Source organism: Homo sapiens, chromosome 12 (assembly GCF_000001405.40).
Source record: "Homo sapiens chromosome 12, GRCh38.p14 Primary Assembly".
NCBI lineage: Eukaryota > Metazoa > Chordata > Mammalia > Primates > Hominidae > Homo > Homo sapiens.
The window spans coordinates 64,610,145-64,632,456 of record NC_000012.12 but is presented as its reverse complement, the minus strand read 5'-3'; the positions used below and the strand labels follow the sequence as shown (position 1 = coordinate 64,632,456).

Sequence of the window (22,312 nt, the reverse complement as noted above, 5' to 3'; positions counted from 1 at the left end):
CCTTCCAAACAATATCCCTACCCCTCTTGCCCTCTAAACTCTGCTGTCAGTTTTAAAATCATAGGTCTGACCACTTTATTTCTCCCTAAGTGGCTCCTCCTTACTCACAAAATATTCAATCCTCAGGCTGGCAAGCACGGCCTTTCAGAGCCTGCCAACCCTCCCTCCTTTCCAGCGTAGTTTTTCACCACACCTTTGGCGTGGCAACCTTTGCTGCAGCCATACCACCACTTGGTCCCAAATACCCCAGCACTCCCCTCTTCTGGCCCGGTGCCTGCCTGTGTGGGCTTCTCTTCATGCACCACTCCCACATGTGCATACCCACCTCCTCCATCAATATCCACCTGCCACCAACTGAAAGGCCTAGTCACCCCCTCTTGTATTATATACACATTTCTAGATTGAACTTCTCCTCCACTCAACGATGGGAGAGACGTCTTCTTTCTAAGCAGCCTTCTACTTAGAATCCAAATATCATCCCTTCCAGTGCGAAGGGAGGCATCTCTTTCAATGATCCTCACTCCCCTGACACTCAGTCTTCTTTCCATTGAAGTCCTCTCATCTAAAAATAAATAAAAAACAGGCCGGGTATGGTGGCTCTCCCCTGTAATCCCAGCACTTTGGGAGGCCGAGGTGGGCGGATAACCTGAGGTCAGGAGGTTGAGACGAGACCAGCCTGGCCAACATGGCAAAACTCCATCTCTACTAAAAATACAAAAATTAACTGGGTGTGGTAGCAGGTGCCTGTAATCCCAGCTACTTGGGAGGCTGAGGCAGGAGAATCTTGAACCCGGGAGACAGAGGTTGCAGTGAGCAGAGATTGCACCACTGCACTCCAGCCTGGGCGACAGAGCAAGACTATGTCTCAACATACATACATACATACATACATACATACATACATACATACATACATACATTACATACGATGACAACACCCTTACCACTTCCCTCGCCCTTGTAGGCTCCTCATTTTACTACACCATCCTCTCCTTGCCAGACAAGCCTCACGGAAGAGCACCTCTACTCACTCTCCTGCTTCCTCTGCACTATTCACTCACCACCCACTGCAGTGTGACTGTACGCCTCCAGTTCACTGGAGTGGCTCTCCTCAAGGTCTCCAGAGACTGCCACACAGTTCCACCCCAGGCCTTCTTGGCTTTTCTGAAGCACTTGTCCCATGGCCAAGCCCTTGTTCTTGAGGTGGTCCCAACCTCCGATCCCAGGACAACCACCCTTTTCTTTTTCTCCAGCTTCTCTGACCACTCCTTGGTTCCTCCATGGACATGCCCTTCTCTGCCCACTTCTTACCTGCTGGTGCCCCCATGCTTCTGTGGTATCCTCCATGCTTCTGTCTAAAGACACCTTTTTTGCTTTACACACATAGTTCATCTAAGCCCATGACTTCAACGAATCCTGAAGCTCTCTCTGCAGACCAGGTCTACCTTCTTGATAAGAAACTCCAGAAACTTTGATAGCCCACAGACATCTCAAAACACACATGCCCAGATTTACTCACTCAAAATTTATTGACTGCCTGGTGTATGCCATATATTGATTGCCTGAATGTGTCTTCCCTCCTAAACCTGATCTTTCTTCTTACTTGATTTCTTGGTGAGTGGCTGCTTGCTAGCACCATCTTCCAAGGCTCCCAAACCAGAAACCTACAACTCTTCCTTGACTCCTCTTTCTCACCACCTCTCTGCCCACATTCAGTGTTACTAATGCCTCCCAATTAACCAGTATCTCCAACCCAGCCCCTCCTCTACTTCATCCCCACATTCATGCCTTCATTCCATTTTAATAACTAAACATCTACTGAGAACTAGCTATAACTCATTCCTGAGTAGGCATATGATCACATGTCCTGGGAGTAAAAAGAACAGTTCAGGATTTCTAAGCACCCTTTTTTTAAATTTCGTTTTGTTTTTGAGATAGGGTCTGTCTCTGTCATTCAGGCTACAGTGCAGTGGTGTGACCATAGCTCACTGCAGCCTCAAACTGCTAAGCTCAAGCAAACCTCTTGCCTCAGCCTCCCAAATAGCTGGGACTACAGGCACAAACCACCATATTTGGATAATTTCTCTTTTTTCAGTAAAGACAATGTCTCGCTCTGTTGCCCAGTCTGGTCTCAAACTCCTGGGCTTAAACAATCCTCCTGCCTCAGCCTCCCAAAGTGCTGGGATTACAGGCATGACCCACCATGGCCTTGCTAATTTTTAACTTTATATCTCTTTTTTGGATGACAAAAATTATACATATGGCAGCCCACATTTTCCCTTTTGATGAATGAAAAATCTTAAAATCAATGAGTGCTTACATGAGTGGAATGCCTATGTGTAAATTCAGAGGTACTTCAAATATTTCATAACTGAAACATTTAGGATCTGGGAATTTGGTGCTGTTATTTGCCACAAAATGCAAACAACCTTTTAGTTCACATAAACCATTTTTCTTTCTTGTTCTTTTTTTCTTTTTCTTTTTTTTTTTTTTTTGAGATGGAGTCTTGCTCTGTCACCCAGGCTGGAGTAGTGGCACAATCTCAGCTCACTGCAACCTCCACCTCCCAGGTTCAAGTGATTCTCCTGCCTCAGCCTCCCGAGTAGCTGGGATTACAGGCGCACACACCATGCCCAGCTAATTTTTGTATTTTTAGTAGAGATGGGGTTTCATCACGTTGGCCAGGCTGGTCTCAAACTCCTGACCTCAGGTGATCCACCCACCTCGGCCTCCCAAAGTGCTGGGATTACAGGCATGAGCCACCGCGCCTGGTCCACATAAACCATTTTTATACAACACTCATTTTCATAGGCCAACTTTTCCAATTAAAACAAACATAATATGTGAGCAGCTACCAAAATCAGCTATTTCTTCATATTATCACATTACATATAAAAATCCACCACAGAATTTCAGGACTACTAGGATCTGTTTAATGAAAAGGGCAGGAGTTGCTAGAAAAATAATTTTTTATGATTTTCATAACATATCAAAAGGTTGTATAATTATGCATTTAAGTATAGTCCTTCTAGCTGGAAGAATAGCAGTGGGACGGGCGCAGTGGCTCATGCCTATAATCCCAGCACTTTGGGAGGTCAAGGCAGACAGACGGCTTGAGCCCAGGTGTTTGAGACCAGCCTGGGCAATGCTGTGAAACCCCATCTCTACAAAAAAAAAAATACGAAAAATTAGCTGGGTGTGGTGGCACGTACCTGTAGTCCTAGCTACTCGGGAGGCTGAGGTGGGAGGATTGCTTGAACCCATAGGCAGAGGTTGCAGTGAGCCAAAGTCACGCCACTGTACTCCAGCCTGGACGACAGAGTGAGACCTTGTCTTAAAAAAAAAAAAAAGAAAATTAGTCGGGTGTGGTGGTCTGCACCTGTGATCCCAGCTACTAAGGAGGCTGAACTGGAACGATCACTTGAGCCTGGGAGGTGAAGGCTGTGGTGAGCTGTGTTCACGCCACTGCACTCCAGCCTGGGTGACAAAGCAAGACCCTGTCTCAAAAAAATAATAATAATAAAATAAAATAAAAATTAGACAACTGACTCTGGCATTTTATAATAGGATTTAACTTGCTGAAAGTTTCCTAGGAATATTTACCTCTATGTGTAGGCTGGAATAAAGGAGACACTTGAAGCAAGTAAAAGAAATTAATCAGGCCGGGTGTAGTGGCTCACACCTGTAATCCCAGCACTTTGGGAGGCCAAGGCAGGCAGATCACCTTAGGTCACGAGTTCAAGACCAGCATGGCCAACATGGCAGAACCCCATCTTTACTAATAATACAAAAATTAGGCAAGTGTGGTGGTGCATGCCTGTAATCCCAGCTACTCGGGAGGCTGAGGCAGGCAGAATTGCTTGAACCTGGGAGGTGGGGTTGCAGTGAGCCAAGATCGTGCCACTGCACTCCAGCCTGGGCGACAGAGAGAGACTCCATGTCAAAAAAAAGGAAAAAATTAATCTTCCAAAGGAAATGAACATACTCCTTCAATCCCAAAAAGCTGCAGCAACCCTCAAGTACTGATTCTTCCAGGAAGTATAGTGGCTAAACTATCCCTTCTGTCCTACCATTCTCAGTAAGAAGATGATTCTCATACATTCATCCTGTCCTGGTTTTGAGGAACGTGGAACTGCTGGTGGGCTCTTATTAAATAGTTCTTGATATTATATTTATAACTCCTGCAATATATACAAGTTCAGAACAATCAAGTGTTCTTTTGGCTTACATGAAATCCATTCTTAGAAAAAGGAAAAGAAAGAAAGAAACTTGTTCTTGTTGGCACTAGATAGGGGATGAATCAAAGATATCACCCAGGTTCCCTTTGATTTCTTTCCCAAGACATTCCCTCTTTTGGAAAAGAAATAATTCTACATATTCTATTCATTTCTCAAACACCCATGACTCAACTCACTTGGGTTCTCCCTATCCAAGCAGATATGACCTAATATAGCTGTTTCTAAACTAATTCATTTGGCATCTCAAAACATTTGTGAAGCCCTCTCAAATCCTATTGCTGTTACTTTCCCTCCAATCAGTAATTCTGCTCCAGAATAAACTAACCATTTGCCACACAGCTGGACAGGGCCTTTGAGGAAGAAACTGAAGCCAAAAATGGTTAAGTAACTCTCCCAAAGTTATCTCTGCTATTTAATAAAGGACCAGTCCTAGGAGCTAGATCTCCATACCCCTGGCCCAACGTACTTTTCACCTAAATGTCCTATTTCCACATGAATACATAAGCTATTACTGTTGTTTTATTATTACTCCCTCTGAAACCAAAAGAAACTCATTTTAGTGCCTTTGCCCAACTTTTCCTTGATTATAATTCTGACACAAGTCTGATCAGATGAAAACCAGGTGGTCAATTAACAAATATAATTGGGACTCCCTCTGTCCTCTGTGCCAGGCACCAAGATAGCACTGAAAATATCATGGTGAAAACTAGAGATGTGGTCTGCCCTTGTGAAGCTCATAGGCAGGATAATCTGGAAGGCTTAAAGCTAAATTAACTCAAGTTCCCTGATGCATCCAACAGTAAGCTAAAATGTCATCTTCCCCCAAATCACCAGTGCTTCATAAACACAATCATCAATTCATAAAGCAATTTAAAGTTGATGCTTAGCTATCAATTGTTCAAGTCCCCAAACACAAATCACGACTTTGCAGATAAAAGCAGACATAGAAGAGATGGAGAATAAATTCATTTTCAAAAACTGTTTATCAAGTGTCAATACTACAGTCGACTGAGAATGTGTCATTAATTTACATCAGACAAGATTAAAAGAGAAAACCATTTTTTAGTAGTCTCTAAACACACCTGTGATTGCTACCACACTTACAATTATGTAATAATCTATAATCTAGGAATACATTCCACATACATTATCTGATTTAACCCCTCTATAATGTTTTAAAGATCAAGAAACTGTTACTCAAGGAACTTAAGTAAGGAACCTGCTCAAGCTCCCAGAGCTAGTAAATAACAGATCCAAAATTAAAATAGTCTCCCAATTCTGGATCCCCAAACCTTTCTACTGAACATACTGCCTTCATAAAATCTCCTACCAAATTATTTTAATTAAGAATGCTGGATGAGCATGGTGGCATACACCTGTAATCCTAACACTTTGGGAGGCCAAGGCAGGAGGATCACTTGAGCCCAGGAGTTCCAGACCAGCCTGGGCAACACAGCAAGACCCCATTTCTACAAAAACATTTTTTAAAATTAGCCAGGCATGGTAGAATGCACCTCTAGTCCCAGCTACTCAGGAGGTTGAGGTGGGAGGATCACTTGAGTCCAGGAGTTCAAGGCTAGCTACAGTGAGGCATGATCCCACCACTGCACTCCAGCCTGGGTGACACAGCGAGACCCTGTCTCAAAAACAAAAAATAAAATAAAACAATTCTAATACCATTAGAAATACTGTTAATCTTTTTCTTTTTTTTTCTTTTTTTTTTTTTTTTTGAGACAAGAGTCTCACTCTGTTGCCCAGGCTGGAGTGCAGTGGCATGATGTCGGCTCACTGCAACCTCCGCCTCCTAAGTTCAAGCAAGCACATCAGGCTAATTTTTGTATTTTTAGTAAAGACAGGGTTTCACCATGTTGGCCCAGGTTGGTCTCAAACTCCTGACCTCAAGTGATCTGCCCACCTCGGCCTCCCAAAGTGTTGGGATTACAGGCGTGAGCCACCACACCCGGCAGAAATAAGTTAATCTTTATTAAACATGTACTTATATGCCAGGTATAGTTCCAAGCCCTTTATATGAATTAACTTGTTAATAATAACATTTATACAAAAATATATCAATAACACTACAGCTCAGCCAATTAAAAATTTTAAAGGCTATTAAAAATCTTCACAGTGGCATTTGGAATTATTACAAAGCCAGTTTCCAACAACCAATTCATTGTGAGAAACATACAACCAAAGGAGGGGGAGGTTGGGGGTGGAGAGATAATATGAAAACTCAGAAGGCGCATCCGGCCTGTAGGACTAGGAAGAGGTTTCCCACCGGGTTCCAAGACTCATACTAATTTTACTGAGTACAAACGAACTCTGAAGAGTCGGCCAAGCAGATCACATGACTCATTGAGCTTTAATGCCTGCACTGGAGCATAAGCAGGCCTATTTCCTAAATGTGGAAGCATCCAGTATCGCTGAAACCCTCAGAGCCGAGACAGTCACTCTGTGGAGAGAGAACAGAGGGCTGGGAACCCAGCCACGGCCAGGGAACTGGACTCTAAGGACAGCAGCAGAGTCTGCCTTTGCAGCACGTTATACAGTTTGCACGTATTACCTTATTTGATTTGATCTCATGAAAACCAGAAAGACGACAGTGACTAAGTTCCTAAACCATGAGCACAAGACTTTCTGGAGGAAAAAGGAAAGCCCCAGGAAGAAGCGGAATTTGTCACCAGGTCAAGCGAGCTGCCCTGAGCAAAACTAACCAGGATCCCGTGATCAGAGGCAGATAAGAGAGAAAGAGGAAGTTTAAAAAAAAAAAAAAGTGTACAATGTGTTAACTTATACATAAACTCTTGGGCAAACAAAACCACACTTTCATATGTCTAATCATTCTCTTTCAACTGGAGTGGCTTGCTTTAAAGGAAAAAGAAGTTGGGAAAGACTTGTGATTAGGTGCCCCCAGGCGTGGTCAGCAGGCAACAGCTCCATTCCAAAAACAAAGGCACCACAGTGATATGGTATGCAGCTAAAAAATAATAATAATAATAATAAATTAATCCTCCAGGAATGACTGGAGCTCCTTCCTGATCAATTACATTGAGATTCCCAATTCATTTTGGTTAATAAAGCCAATGAGACAGACCTAATTTCCAATTTCCTGCCATTTTTCGCTCTTTGGCTGGACTATTAGTTCCCTTCAAATCTCTCAACCACTGTCAGTTCTCCATATGGTCTACTACCCTCAAATGAAAAGGGGCATATAATCACATGTAGGAGGATCTTTTAAAAATAACTATTGCTGGCCAGGCGCGGTGGCTCACGCCTGTAATCCCAGCACTTTGGGAGGCCGAGGCGGGCAGATCGCGAAGTCAGGAGATCGAGACCATCCTGGCTAACACAGTCAAACCCCATCTCTACTAAAAATACAAAAAAAAAAAAAAATTACCCGGGGGTGGTGGTAGGCGCCTGTAGTTCCAGCTACTCGGGATGCTGAGGCAGGAGAATGGCATAACCCAGGAGGCAGAGCTTGCAGTGAGCCTAGATCGCGCCACTGCACTCCAGCCTGGGCAACAGAGCAAGACTCCGTCTCAAGAAATAATAACTATTGCTAACATTTATTAATGCTTATGAACTTCCAGGCATCCTACTAGTTTACAAATGAGGAAACTGAGGCTCAAAGAGGTACAACGATTTGCCAGGCGTGATGGCCCATACCTGTAATACCAGCGCTTTGGGAGGCCAAGGCAGGAGGATCACTTGAGCCCAGGAGTTCAAGACCAAACTGAGCAACATAGTGAGACCCTGTCTCTTAAAAATGTAAAAAATAAAAATAAATTAAAAAAACAAAGAGGTACAATGACTTGCTCAAGATAATACAGCTAGCACTGATTTAAACACAGGGTGCCCTACATAGCTGCTTGCAATTAATCAATTAAGAACACACACCCTTTTAGCCTATAGTTCTCCCTCTTTTTCATTACTGAGTTTTAAGCCCTCACCTCAAACAAGCAAGATGCATTGTAATGTTAATTTTAAAACTGTAACAGAGCTTCCTCCTTTAGGAATGGATTGTAAGTGGATTTGTTGATATCGGTGCTAGGTTTGCCTTTATGAAACGTACTCGTTCCGCTACACAATAAGCCCAAATTCTCTTCCCCCAAATTTCACAAATACTAATTTGGATACAGAGACCATCAACATGACAGCCAAGGATCAAACCCCTGCATGGCAGCAGCACCTCATTCATGCTAATTGACAGTTTCACGTGACCAAATCTGGTCAGAGGAAAAGCAAGAAAGCAATTCTAAAACAGAAATATGGCCGGACATGGTGGCTCACCCCTGTAATCCCAACACTTTGGGAGGCAGAGGCGGGCAGATCGGTTGAGGCCAGAAGTTTGAGGCCAGTCTGGCCAACACGGTGAAACTCTCTCTCTACTAAAAAAATAAAAATAAAAATTAGCCAGGCATGGTGGCGGGTGCTGGCAATCCCAGCTACTCGGGAAGCTGAGGCATGAGAATTTCTTGAACCTGGGAAGCAGAAGCTGCAGTGAGCCGAGATCGTGCCACTGCACTCCAGCCTGGGTGACAGAGTGAGACTCCATCTCAAAAAAATAAAAGAAAATAAAATTCTGAAATATCTGAAAGGGCTGTACCTTCCACCTAAAGGAACACTGGCAAGAAAAGCAATCCACAAGCCTGTCTGAACAAACAGAAACAGACCTTAAATGGACAAACGTAATATTGTTTCTTTATACCATCTACATAATATTTACATTTTCCCATAGCTGGGAAATTACTCACTACAGTCAAGTACCCCTAAATTTACCTCTGGCATGTCATGAAACCTGCATCTGCTTAAGGCCTAAACGGATAAACGTGCTAGTTAAATTTCTCATCTCAGAGTTCCTCTGAAATTAAAGTCCAATAAAATCAACTGAATTTTAATTCCCTTGGAATGCCCTGTTAACTGTAAAACACTAAGAAATGCTAAAGTTAATTTTGGTACTGGTACTTTTCCTCCTACGTGATATATTTAACTATGTTGTTTTCTATTTTCATTTAAAAAAATTTTGCTCCTATGACTTTGCTGGCAAAATATCAAAAAAGATTCCTCGAAACAAGCATTTGTAGAAAATTTTCACGGTGGCCGGGCGCGGTGGCTCATGCTTATAATCTCAGCACTCAGGGAGGCCGAGGCAGGCGGATCACCTGAGGTCAGGGGTTCGAGACCAGCCTGACCAACATGGTGAAACCCCGTCTCTACTAAAAATACAAAAATTAGCTGGGCATGGTGGTATGCGCCTGTATTCCCAGCTACTGGGGAGGCTGAGACTGAAGAATCACTTGAACTCAGGAGATGGAGGTTGCAGTGAGCCAAGATCGTGCCACTGTACTACAGCCTGGGCAACAGAGCAAGACTCCATCTCAAAAAAAAAAAGAAAGAAAAAAGAAAATTTTCACAGTAAGCTTGTTTGAATTAAGAAATTGGGGATTAAGGAGGGCTCATAATCTATCAATCATAAAGTCAGAAGTAACTCTTCACATCTTTTTAAAAGATTCACTTGATAAAAAGATTCTGAAAGAAAAAATTTAAAGTAGGAGTTAATCAGAATAAAAGAGATTAAGCAACAATTTTCTACTTAGGCTTCAACAAGCCTGAAAGTATTAAGTTGGTGCAAAAGTAATTGAGATTTTTGCTACTGAAAGTAATGGCAAAAACCGCAATTACTTTTGCACCAACCTAATAGATGCCAATGCCGATTCCTTTCTCATCGCAATTTTTCAACAAAAGACAGTAAGCCTATAAGTAAACAGTATAAATTATCTTTGGTGGGTAAGGTTTCCAGCAGTTTGTCCTACCATCCTTTTTTCAATACCTAGTATACTTACAAAATAAGTTAGGACTGGCCAGGCACGGTGGCTCACACCTGTAATCCCAACACTTTGGGAGGCCAAGGCAGGCGGATAACGAGCTCAGGAGTTTGACACCAGCCTGACCAACATGGTGAAACCCTGACTCTACTAAAAATACAAAAAAAAAAAAAAAAATAGCTGGACATGGTGGTGCATGCCTGTAATCCCAACTACTCAGGAGGCTGAGGCAGGAAAATAGCTTGAATCTGGGAGGCAGAGATTGCAGTGAGCCAAGATCGCGCCACTGCACTCCAGCCTGGTGACAGAGCAAGACTGTCAAAAAGATAAAAATAAATAAGTTAGGTTCTTCTAAATTCTACCAGAGTGGTTGGAAAACAAGCCCTAAATTTATTGAAATTCAAAGATAAACAGGAACTTCTAGTCACCCTTTTTTTTAAAACACATGGTTAGTAGAAAACACATCACCCAACTCCCCACCTTCTGAATCCCACGGGTTTATTTATGGTGATGCTTTCTTAGCAATGCCTTTCCCATGTTGTAACTACAGGAGTAATAAGTATTTTTCTGAGTTTCAGTGATGTCAGCCTGAAACACATTCTGAAGTATTTCAAAATGCCTGGGCCGGGCACGGTGGCTCACGCCTATAATCCCAGCACTTTGGGAGGCCCAGGCGGGTAGATTACCGGAGATCAGGAGTTCGAGACCATCCAGCCTGATCAATCCTGTCTCTACTAAAAATACAAAAATTAGCCGCGCATAGTGGCGCATGCCCATAATCCCAGCTACTTGGGAGGATGAAGCAGGAGAATCACTTGAACCTGGGAGGCGGAGGTTGCAGTGAGCCAAGTTCGCACCATTGCTCTCCAGCCTGGGCAACATGACCGAAACTCCATCTTAAAAAAATGAAAGCCTGAATATGTAATATCCTTTTGGTACAAACAGTGTAAGTCAAAAAAAACCCTGAAGTTCAGCTGACCTCAAAAAAGCAGAACCATCTACCAAGCTAAAAATGCACAGACTCAAGCAGTGCTCTCTCAAGATTTTGCCTACCTAATAGACAAATGGGCAAAGGTCATGCATGGACAATTCTCACACAAGGGAGATTTACTCAGAAGTATTTAAAAAGTATTAAATTCACAGTTAATTAAAGGAATGTGCCAGGCGCAGTGCCTCACGTCTGTAATCTCAGCACTTTGGGAGGCCGAGGTGGGTGGACCACCTGAGGTCAGGAGTTTGAGACCAGCCTGGCCAACATGGTGAAACCCCATCTCTACTAAAAATACAAAAATTAGCAGGGCGTAGTGGCAGGCGCCTGTAATCCCAGCTACTTGGGAGGCTGAGGCAGGAGAATCTCTTGAACCTGGGAGGCGGAGGTTGCAGTAAGCCAAGATCGCGCCATTACACTCCAGCCTGGGTGACGAGTAAAACTCCACCTCAAAAAATAATAATTTAAAAAATAATAATAAAGGAATGTAAATTAAATAGCAATAAGGTGCCTTTAGTTATTGAAGTTTTTTTTCTCTATTTTAATGACTATATCCAATGGAAGTAAGGGTGTAATGAAACTTAAAAATAGACATAAATTGGCAATATATAACTAGAATCATAAAAAGTCACACCCTCATAATTAGTAAAATTCCATTTTTGTACAACTATCCTATAAAATTAATCCATAATGGAAAAGGTTTCATGCTCAAGGTATTTATTAGTGCTATTTACAGTAGCAAAAATTAGAAACCTCCACATTTTCCAATATTTGGGAATAACGCCAATTCAATAAAATACAATGTAGACAACAAAATGACAGCTGAAATCAAGCAGCAGTATTCCATAATCCTGGGTTTAAATAAGGATTCAAATTTGTCAGTATAGTATTCCTCAAAAAATTAAAAACAGAATTACCATATGATTCTATAGCAACTGTTACTTATGGGTATATATCGCAAAAAGTTTTAAGAGGGGTCTTTAAGAGATATTTGTACACCCCTGTTCACAGCATCATTATTCACATGAGCCAAAAGGTGGAAGCAATCCTAATGTCTATGGAAGAATCAATGGATAAACAAAAAGTGATATATACATACAATGGATATATTATTCAGCCTTTAAAAGGAAGGAAATTCTGACACATACTCCAACATGAATAAATCTTGATGACATCAAGCTAAGTAAACTAAGCCAGTTACAAAAAAACAATTACTACACAAATTCACTTATCTAGACTAGTCAGACGAACCTATATACGCCCCCCATGAAGGCAGGTTTCAATCTGTTTCGTTCACCACCAAATCTCTAGCACTTAGTCTAGCATCATTGTGAATATTCAATACTTGAAAAATGAATTCAGAAAACTACACACACACACACACACACACAGTCAACCTGCACTAATTTCTTTTTTTTTTTTTTTTGATATAAAGTCTCACTCTGTTGCCCAAGCTGGAGTGCAGTGGCGCAATCTCGGCTCACCACAACCTCCACCTCCCAGGTTCAAGCGATTCTCCTGTCTCAGCCTACCGAGTAGCTGGGAGTACAGGCATGCACCACCATGCCTGCCTAATTTTTGTATTTTTAGTAGAGACGGGGTTTCACTATATTGGCCAGGTTAGTCTTGAACTCCCGACCTCGTGATCCGCCCGCCTTGGCCTCCCAATGTGCTGGGATTACAGGCGTGAGCCACCACGCCTGGCAACCTGCACTAATTTTAAGTGAACTCTTTGCTGACTATATTCTAAGTCCGTTAACTCCAAGATCTTCTAAATCCATCCTTCTGGTCTCCAATTCCCAAACTCACCCTTTTTCCTCCTCTAATTATCTCACCTTGTTTAGCATCTGGAAAAAGAACCAAGTGAGGCAATATATAATTAGTAAATTATTCTTAGCTGACTGAATCATGTAGCAGCAGTTAGCAATTACAGTCCACAAAATGCAAAATATTAAGCTTGCTCCTTTAATACTCTATGAAACATGAGCCCTCTTCTGTCCTTAAACTGAAGGCAGAGTTGCACCGAGAATGCCATTAGGTCAGTTTTATCTTATTGGCTCATGTGGAAAAAAAAAAGGGAAGTTCCCCACACAAAAGTTTCACAACCCCAAAATGCTGGTATGTGTGTCCCTGGATAGGCTGAGAAGAAACTATCCCCAACAGTAAAGGGCAAGTTCCCCTTCACAAAGAAAAATCTTCCCAACACACCAGGCTGGTACCCCCACATCCATCCATCTGCAGCCACCAAGACAATGGAGATTCAAACCTCTGGCAAGGGCTGCCAGCCCTGCTTCAGCAAACAGCATTGTTCAACAAAAATATCATGCGAGCCACATGCATAATTTTAAGTTTTCCATAGCCATGCTAAAAAATAAGTAACATTAAATTTACTTAACTCAAATATTATCGAATATTATCATTTCAACATGTAATTGCAATTTTTTAATTATCATATTTTACATTCTTTCTTTTTTTTTATTATTATACTTTAAGTTTTAGGGTACATTTCTAATCTTCAAAATCCAGTGTGTATTTTTCACAGCAATCTCAATCAGACTAGCCACGTTTCGATTGCTTAAAAACTACATGTAGCTAGTGACTACTGTATTGTACAGCACAGTTTTAGAATGGTCACTTCTATCTCAGAATATATTTTCTGATTTGTTACTTAAGTTTTTACATATATTTCAAATACTCATCATTTTTTATGGGTTCTGACATCCTTCCTAGAGCATTATCTGGCCCTCTCCATTTAAAAAAAACAAAAACAAAAACAAAAGGCCGGGCGTGGTGGCTCACGCCTGTAATCCCAGCACTTTGGGAGGCCAAGGAGGGCAGATCATGAGGTCAGGAGTTTGAGACCAGTCTGGCCAACATGGTATAACCCCGTCTCTACTTTAAAAATACAAAAATTAGCCGGGGATGGTGGCATGCCCCTGTAATCCCAGCTACTTGGGAGGCTGAGGCAGGAGAATTGCTTGAACCCAGGAGGTGGAGGTTGCAGTGAGCCGAGATCACGCCACTGCACTCCAGCCTGGGCAACAGATCAAGACTTGTCTCAAAAAAAATAAAAATAAAATTAAGCAAACAAAAGCTATTTGACAACACTACTGATAGCCAAACCAGAACTACCTGTTTAAACTATTAAGAAAAACCTGGAATACTCAGGAGGCTAAGGCAGGAGGATCATGTGGGCCCAGGAGTTCGAGGCTATAGGGCACTATTATCATGCCTGTGAATAACAATTGCATTTTAGCTTGGGCAACATAGCAAGATCCCATCTCTTTAAAAATGAAAAAAGAAAAGAAAAAAGAGACCTGGAAAATAAACCAAATTTGATTTGGTTAATTTTGGTTAACATTTTGGTGAATTAACCAGTTTGGTTAACGCTGGTTGAAGTTATTTAAAAAACATTTTCTAACCTTGAAGATGATTACGTTTCTGTTGGAAGACAGTCATCAATAAGGAAATGTGATTGTTTTACACAGGGACGTAAAACAGGAAGTGATACACTTCCACGTCAACATTCCCATCTAAACAGATGTATAGGGCCGGGCACGGTAGCTCATTCCTGTAATCCCAGCACTTTGGGAGGCCGAGGCGGGCAGATCACAAGGTCAGGAGTTCAAGACCAGCCTGGCCAATATGGTGAAACCCCATCCCTACTAAAAATATAAAAAATTAGCCCCATGTGGTGGCACGCACCTGTAATCCCAGCTACTGGGGAGGCTGAGGCAGGGGAATTGCTTGAACCCAGGAGGCAGAGGTTGCGGTGAGTGGAGATCGCATCATTGTACTCCAGCCTGGGTGACAGAGCAAGACTCCGTCTCAACCAATCAATCAATCAATGTATAGCTTTACCACACTACAAAATAGGTGTGTTCCTGAAAAACTACATTTCAAAGTTTCCTCAAATACACTAAAGGAGCAAGCTCTTTAGGGAAAAATTAGAGAGATATTTTCATTTGCCTATTGGGTAAGCTTTTTAAAAACATTGCCAAAAGAGGCCAGGGACTGTGTATTGTTCACCACCCTAACCCCAGAGGTTAGAACAGTATCTGGCACATAGGAGGCACACAATAAATTGTCAACTAAATATATTAATGAATAAATGATGAGTTTTCTTAAAACAAGGGGAAAGTATATAAAGTGAGTTATGCTTAACCAGTAATCACAGATATTACCAATATCATCCCATTTTAAATCACTACTACCTGTAAGATACTGTGAAGGCTTATGGTCTAGTTTGGAAAGGGGGAGACATTGTGTACATTTGTGTATAAAGGAAAACTAACAGTACCAAATACTGGGACATCCATCCAAAATGAGCAGGCTTTCATTTGTTCAAGCACCTTAAGTGCCAAGCATTTATATTATGTAGTAGGTAAAAAATGCTAGTCTCTGTCCTCATTAAACAAAATATAATGATAAATTATAATTTTTGCTATGAAGGGAAAGAACAGCGGGCTTTAAGACTTTTCTGAGTCGACATGTTAAGGAGAATGGAGGGCGGCAACTCCAGGCCATGGTTCTGAGATGGCGATGGGGCCTGAAAGGAATTAAAGAGAAGGCTAATATTGTTGGAGTCCTAAAAGCTCTTACATCACAGGGTGAACAATAAGCGGGGCCTTGTAATAGAGGTAATGCCTGCTTGCCATGAGAATAAAAACTTCCTACAAGGCAAATGTGTGTAGCTCTTCAAACAGAGGAAGATGCAAAGAGGCTAAGTTAGCCAAGACTTGTCATATAGAAGAGAAGCTCCTTTGCATGCATTTATCATATATCCTACTGTCTTTTCACCATCCCCTCTGAAGAGGGACTGCTAGCCAATGGCCTTTGGCCAAATTAGGAGTGAAATACACGTTTCAAACTGGGGCCTTTATTGAAAGACAGCTACTTATGCTTGGAGACTTGGGGGTGGAAAATGCGAGGGCTAATGCCCAGGGCTAAGAGTTGGTGATCAGGCCACACTAGAAAGTATTTGGTCAGACTCAGTTTTTTTTTCTCCCAGAAAAAGAATGTTAACCGTATGACATGCACTGACTGCCAAAGGAAGTCTAAAAAGAATAACCACATTATTGGATATTTTTAGCCTTTCTTTTCAAAAATGTTTTGTGTCACTGCTTTCCAAATAATTCCAAATCTTGTGAGTTGGCCAGAAGAAGAAATGGGATAAGGAGTATACTACTCAAATATGAGGCTTTATAGGACTGGAAACTTTTTCTTCTGAAATTCATTTAAAGGAATATGCCTTTGTGAATCTTGCTCACACAAACACAAAATTCCAATGGATTAATATCGTGTAAGAACAGAACATATCAGACATGCAGAAAAGATGTGTAAATCACCTTGCCCTAGGCAAAATGTCTGGTGAAAATGTTTATGCCCCATAATACGGGAATTAAAAATCAGCATTTAAAAAGCTAGTATAGGCCAGGAGTGGTGGCTCACACCTGTAATCCTAGCACTGTGGGAGGCCGAGGTGGGTGGATCACCTGAGGTCAGGAGTTTGAGACCAGTTTGCCCAACATGGTGAAAGCCCGTCTCTACTAAAAATACAAAAAATTAGCCAGGCACTGTGGCGGGAGCCTGTAATCCCAGCTACTCGGGAGGCTGAGGCAGGAGAATCATTTGAACCCAGGAGGCAGATGTTGCAGAGCCGAGATCACACCACTGCACTCCAGCCTGGGTGACAAAAGCGAAACTCCGTCTCAAAAAAAAAAAAAGAAAAAGGCTAGTAGAGTCAAAATACCTATTATGTCATAAACCACTATTCTTTTACCCCAGTGATCTAGCTCTAAACTTCTAATGGAAACACTAATAAAAGAGTGCAGCTCATTACTGTTGATTCTAGCAATAAGACACAACCAAATAATTGAGGCACAAAAATATTTGAATAAGAAAGAGAAAACCGAAAGGGTGAAGTTGAGGCCTGCTATGGGGAGTCTAATAGACTTACTTACTGAAGTAAAATTCTTCAGCGCAATTTTTTTTAAAGTGTGGGTTGTTCAGAAGACAATTTCACGTTTCTCAAGACTTCTTGACTACCCTACTTCTAAAGCAAAAATACTGTCTCATTTCCTTATTCCCATGAACTACCAAAGGCTCAGGAGGAGAGGTAGCTTAGCTAAGAGGTAAGACACACTCTGACAGATTATAACTTTAGACCATTTCTATTCTTTGGAAATCTGAATGTGTCCTGTATTTACAGGTAGTTTGATTTTGGTGGGAAATCAAGAAGGCAAATAATAAATTACACAACTGTCCACATTTTTGGTTTTGCTGAAAACAATGATTAGGTGGATCCTTTGAAACACAGCGAATCCACAAATACGTGAATCCACAAATACAAATTATAAACACTGTCATGACTATATGCAGGTCAGGGAGTTGAAATTTTAAGAAACAGCCAGGCGCGGTGGCTCATGCCTATAATCCCAGCACTTTGGGAGGCCAAGGAGGGCAGATCACTTAAGGTCAGAAGTTCAAGACCAGCCTGGCCAACATGGCAAAACCCCATCTAGACTAAAATACAAAAAAAAAAGCCAGGCCTGGCAGCGGGTGCCTGTAATCCCAACTACTCAGGAGGCTGAGGTATGAGAATCAATTGATCCTGGGAGATGGAGGTTGCAGTGAGCCAAGATCCTGCCACTGCACTCCAGTCTGGGTGACACAGTAAGAATCTATCTCAAAAAAAAAAAAAAAAGAAAAGAAAAGAAATTTTAAGAAACTCTTAAATTTTAGGTGTCCTTATTTGCAAAGGGAATATGGAGCCATAAAATTATTTTTATAGCTAAAAAGTAACAAAATAGAGAGTGTAATTTGAGTCTGAAAACCTGAGTTCCAGCCTTCTTGCTATCTAGGTGTGGGCCTTATACAATCACTAAATAATACCTCCCCCTTTCATTAAGTTAATGTTTCATACAGTTTTTGGGAGCACCATAAGATACAGTACATTTGAAAATGGTAAAGATCAGGGGCCAGGTGCGGTGGCTCACGCCTGTAATCCCAGCACTTTGGGAGGCCGAGGCGGGCAGATCACCTGAGGTCAGGAATTCAAGACCAGCCTGGCCAACATGGTGAGACCCCGTCTCTACTACAAAATTTAGCTGGATATGGTGGCAGGTGCCTGTGATCCCAGCTACTCGGGAGGCTGAGGCAGGAGAATCGTTTGCACGCGGGAGACGGAGGTTGCAGTGAGCCGAGATCACGCCATTGCACTCCAGCCTGGGCAACAAGAGTGAAACTCCATCTCAAAAAAAAAAAAAAAAAGAAATGGTAAAGACCCAGTTACTATCAAATCAGGAAAACATTCATTCATTCAGCTTGCATTCACTGAGCAACTACTGTATATCAGGTACTGATCGAGACCCTGCGGATACAATAAACATGACATTCAAACTGCCACAAAACGTCATATGTTCGTTCCCTTTATATCTTTTAGACAGTTTTGTTTTTGAGACAGGGTCTCGCTCTGTTGCCCAGGCTGGAGTGCAGTGGTGCGATCACAGCTCACTGCAACCTCTGCCTCCCGGCCTTAAGCAATGCTCCCACCTCAGTCTCCCGAGTAGCTGGGACTACAGGCGAGCACCACCATGCCTGACTAATTTTTGCATTTTTTTTGTAGAGACAGGGTTTCACCATGTTGTCCAGGCTGGTCTCAAACTCCTGGGCTCAAGCAATCCTCCCATCTCAGCCTCCCAAAGTGCTGGAATTACAGGCATGAGCTACCACACGTGGCCTAGACAGGTTTTTTAACCCTTTTCCATTTTTGTTGTTGTTCTTGTTGTTAAGAATGGGGTTTAAAGTAAGAAAAAAAATGAAAACATTTTCTTTATAAGGTTTTTGTTACTGTTGGGGATAGAAAGAAGTTGCACTATGTTCCCTTGCCTGGCAAGAGAAGAAAGAAATTTCCAGTCCACCCGCTCCCTCACCCCTTTCTCCCCATTCTGCATTTACCACAAACATCTTGTTTTCTCCGGATATTTTCAAGAAATCTAGAAACCTCATTTTTCTCACTTTTCCACCAGGTGGTACAGCATCCAAAAAAAAAAAAAATCACTGTATCTCTAATAGATCCTTCTAGCAATACCTCTCTTTCCATCTCTCTAGAGAAAGGATAAATTTCACTACTATGATGTATGTCAGAAGTGCTTATCTTATTCTTATAATCATCAGCATGAAAATGAAGAAAAAGGCTTATCTAACGTTAGATAAAAGGAACATTCTACATTAAGAGTGTTTTGCTTTATATTTATGATGTTTTACTTCCCTAATTCACCAATCTTACCAGGAATTTAAAACATTCATATCACTTCTTTAAATAAACCACAATGCTCACTAAAATTCGTAGTTTAGAACACTTTCTCTGCCTGGCAAATAACTTCTACAACTCAGCACCTTACATGTGTTATGTTAGAAGGGAAAAATATGCAGGCAATAAAGCTTCAAATACACATATGAAGCTCTTCAACCACGAACTATGTCTTCCTGTCCTGATTTCCAACACGATATTTCAAAATACATATTAATGTTAGACTAATTCTAAATGCTAAATAATACTACCCTGAGTATAATATATATGCTAGATGATACATAAATGATTGCATACAACATAGAAACAATAAATGTGCCGGGGGCGGTGGCTCACATCTGTAATCCCTGCACTTTGGGAGGCCAAGGCGGGCAGATTACCTGAGGCCAGGAGTTCGAGACCAGCCTGGCCAACATGGTTAAATCCCATCTCTACTAAAAATACAAAAATGAGCCAGATGTGGTGGTGCATGCCTGTAATCTCAGCTACTCGGGAAGCTGAGGCAAGGGAATCGCTTGAACCAGGGAAGCTGAGGTTGCAGTGAGATCACACGACTGCACTCCAGCCTGGGTAACACAGTGAGACTCCATCTCAAAAAAAAAAAAAAAAAAAGAAACGCTAAATGCATATAAACCTAGAAAAAAACTGATGTCTTTACTCTTTAAAGCACTAAAGGATTCTCATACAATTCAAACCTGAATAGTTTGGCCCTTGTGGCATCTCACCCCTGGAGAATCCAAGAACCAGCCAGTTTTCAGGAGATTAGCAGACACCTCTGGAATAAACTTCAAACTACCATGAGTTCCTTTTCATGTCAAGTGGTGAAAGCAACATAAATGAAAGGAGAAAATGCAAAACGGAGAAGGGGAAGAGAGAGGCCAAGAAAGAGAAAGCAAAAATGGAAAAAGCATAAGCAAATGCAATTTTTCTACAACCCAGGGAGGGTGGGCATGGGGGAGGAGAGGGCGTTTCCAACTTCCAAACTTCACAGCAATCTCATGCTCTCAGAACACACTCTGCTGAAAGTAAGAGATCCCACTCAAAGTGACTCGTAAATAGTGGGGCCTTAAGCCTTAGAAACAATACAAGACGGACAACTATGGCACCGGGACTTGAGATTAACTGCGGTTACTGAATAAGGGCACTTGACTTCAGCTTACCCTTCACCGTCTCCTCTCCTCCTCCTGGTTTGGGACTTAAGAGCCTGAAAAGACTAGAACTTCCGAATTTTAGAAAGAATTTTACTTCAGAAAGTGGCTAAACTTAAGAGGTCTGGCAAGACCACCCTGACAGATTGCACCCTCCCACATCCACCAAAAGAAGTTATCATCCGGCCCCTGAACGATTCTTCTTGCTTCTAGTCTCTAGGTCTCAGTCCGGTATTAATAGAAATGTTTGGCGAACGCCTGTTTTCTAAAAGCAACAAATTTGTGCCATTACAATCTTCTGTAATCTGATGTGAGCGTGGCCGGGTTGGCCCGGCTCCCCTGGTGCGGCTCCTAGTGCCAGGAGGCCGCGGGCTCTAGCACCGGGCTCCTCAGTCCAGCCGACGTGCCCCGTTTCGGGAAGGCCTCCCAAAAAACACGGCTACAGCTGGCGAAACTGGCACAAGTTCCCTTCCCATCTTTTCCCAACTCGTGCTTCCCACGGCATGCTGCCTCCAAAAAAGGAAGAAACCGGCGAAAAGGTTAGCTGTCGCTGGCTAGTATTTAGCATAGGAGCTTGTTTGCAAAACATCTGGGCACCAAAAAACCTAGCTTTACAGAAAACGCACAACCCTGAGTCCCGCAACGGAGATTTAGTGAGAGCCTATGGTGGCGAGGCCCACGGTGCCCTTGGACCCCCACTCCACCAGGTCGCCCGGGCCAGGAAGAGGGGAGGTCAGGTCACCCGGCCACCCCTAGCTATTACACGTTGACCCAAGCCACTCTGGGGGCCACAGATGAGTAAGCTGACTAACAGGAAGGACAGGCGCGCGAACCCGACCGTCGACCCAGCGGGGACGCGAAGGGGAAACCTGGGGGAGTGGCCCGGGGACGCCTGCTGGCTCCGGGGCTGCTCCCCGCAGGCGGCAGCCCGAGGCGGAGCTGCAGAGGCCATCTGGCGCGGAAGGCAGAAGCCGGCCCTCAGCCTCCCCGCCCTTCCTCCGCCTTCCCTCGCCTACACGCACAAGCTCCAGGCACGTTCCCGGGACCCGAAAAGGCAGAAGCCACTTCTCGGCCCGCTCCTCCTTCCCGGCGAGCATCCCCCGAGCGCCCCGCAGAGACACGTGGAGGCAGGGGGCGCGGGCTGGCGGGTTCCCCGGAACTCTGGGGCGCGGGCTGCAGCGCCCGCCGCGCGCCACTCACTTGTTGGCCGGAGCGGGGCTTGCCCTGGGGCGCTCTCCTGAAGAAGGAGGTCCTGGCGGTGAAGAAGAAGTCCTCGGCGTCCTCCTCCAGGCTGCTGTAGCCGCTGCTCATGCTGCCGGTCCCGTCGCGCGCGGGCGGCCTCCCCGGGGCGCAGGCGGCCAGGGAGGGGGTGCGGCGCCCGCCAGCCCCGCGAGGTTCCCGGCGCGCAGCCCCGGGCAGTCCTTATGCAGCTGCGGCCGCCGCTCAATCAGGCTCTCCCGGCCCCTCCTGCCGCCTCCCCGCCAGGCTCCAGGCGCGGCTCGGCCCCGGTGCGCCCGCGACCCCGCCTCCCTGGGCCCCGCCCCGGACGGGCGACCGGCCGAGCCCCACCCCGCGCGGCCGCGACCCTCCCCGCCCGCCCGCAGGTGGGGGGAGCCCGGCCCGCCCCTTCCAGGCGCGCGGGTTTCTCCCGACAGCGTCGCGGAACCCGGAAAGCCGGGCGCTAGGGCTGCGTCTGCTGGGGCTGTGCTCGGGTCGCTTCCTCAACCTCCCGGAAACTGCAAATTCCTCTGCGAGCCGTCCGCCCGCCCCCAGCCTCGCTGGCTCGAGTTTCGGAGAGG

At 43.7% G+C, this 22,312-nt stretch overlaps 1 protein-coding gene and 2 non-coding genes across 7 annotated transcripts in view, besides 6 other annotated features; 1 reads left to right on the top strand and 2 right to left on the bottom strand.

Annotated features, from left to right (window-relative positions):
• RASSF3 (Ras association domain family member 3) overlaps positions 1-22,312 on the bottom strand; it is a 190,601-nt gene that overhangs the window by 65,108 nt on the left and 103,181 nt on the right. For 2 of the 5 annotated variants that reach the window (NR_040718.2, NM_178169.4), the window contains exon 1: positions 21,714-21,962. The exons of 2 other annotated variants lie outside the window; for them this stretch is intronic. Coding sequence is in view for 2 of the 3 variants with exons in the window: in NM_178169.4 (NP_835463.1) it covers positions 21,714-21,824 (111 nt within the window). In the remaining variant the exon portion in view is untranslated. Of the gene's footprint in view, positions 1-21,535; positions 21,963-22,312 lie in introns of those variants that run through there. One more of the 5 variants, XM_011538195.3, reaches the window with a different exon arrangement.
• Positions 6,246-6,962: an enhancer, noted in NCBI's record as "H3K27ac hESC enhancer chr12:65019275-65019991 (GRCh37/hg19 assembly coordinates)". NCBI's record gives its function as "activates a minimal SCP1, AML or CMV promoter by ChIP-STARR-seq in primed H9 embryonic stem cells {active_cell/tissue: H9 hESC(primed)}" and the evidence as "EXISTENCE:reporter gene assay evidence [ECO:0000049][PMID:30033119]".
• Positions 6,659-6,848: a silencer, noted in NCBI's record as "fragment chr12:65019389-65019578 (GRCh37/hg19 assembly coordinates)". NCBI's record gives its function as "represses an EF-1alpha promoter that drives an FKBP-Casp9 reporter gene in an ReSE screen in HepG2 liver carcinoma cells {active_cell/tissue: HepG2}" and the evidence as "EXISTENCE:reporter gene assay evidence [ECO:0000049][PMID:32094911]".
• Positions 6,770-6,889: an enhancer, noted in NCBI's record as "active region_6598". NCBI's record gives its function as "activates an Ori minimal core promoter by ATAC-STARR-seq in GM12878 lymphoblastoid cells {active_cell/tissue: GM12878}" and the evidence as "EXISTENCE:reporter gene assay evidence [ECO:0000049][PMID:35858748]".
• MIR548Z (microRNA 548z) lies at positions 9,852-9,948 on the top strand. Its single transcript, NR_037515.1, has one exon. It is a non-coding gene; the product is annotated as a microRNA 548z (primary transcript).
• On the bottom strand, positions 9,852-9,948 carry MIR548C (microRNA 548c). The gene has a single exon (NR_030347.1). It is a non-coding gene; the product is annotated as a microRNA 548c (primary transcript).
• Positions 10,867-11,026: an enhancer, noted in NCBI's record as "active region_6597". NCBI's record gives its function as "activates an Ori minimal core promoter by ATAC-STARR-seq in GM12878 lymphoblastoid cells {active_cell/tissue: GM12878}" and the evidence as "EXISTENCE:reporter gene assay evidence [ECO:0000049][PMID:35858748]".
• Positions 21,433-21,502: a silencer, noted in NCBI's record as "silent region_4624". NCBI's record gives its function as "represses an Ori minimal core promoter by ATAC-STARR-seq in GM12878 lymphoblastoid cells {active_cell/tissue: GM12878}" and the evidence as "EXISTENCE:reporter gene assay evidence [ECO:0000049][PMID:35858748]".
• Positions 21,713-22,232: a silencer, noted in NCBI's record as "silent region_4623". NCBI's record gives its function as "represses an Ori minimal core promoter by ATAC-STARR-seq in GM12878 lymphoblastoid cells {active_cell/tissue: GM12878}" and the evidence as "EXISTENCE:reporter gene assay evidence [ECO:0000049][PMID:35858748]".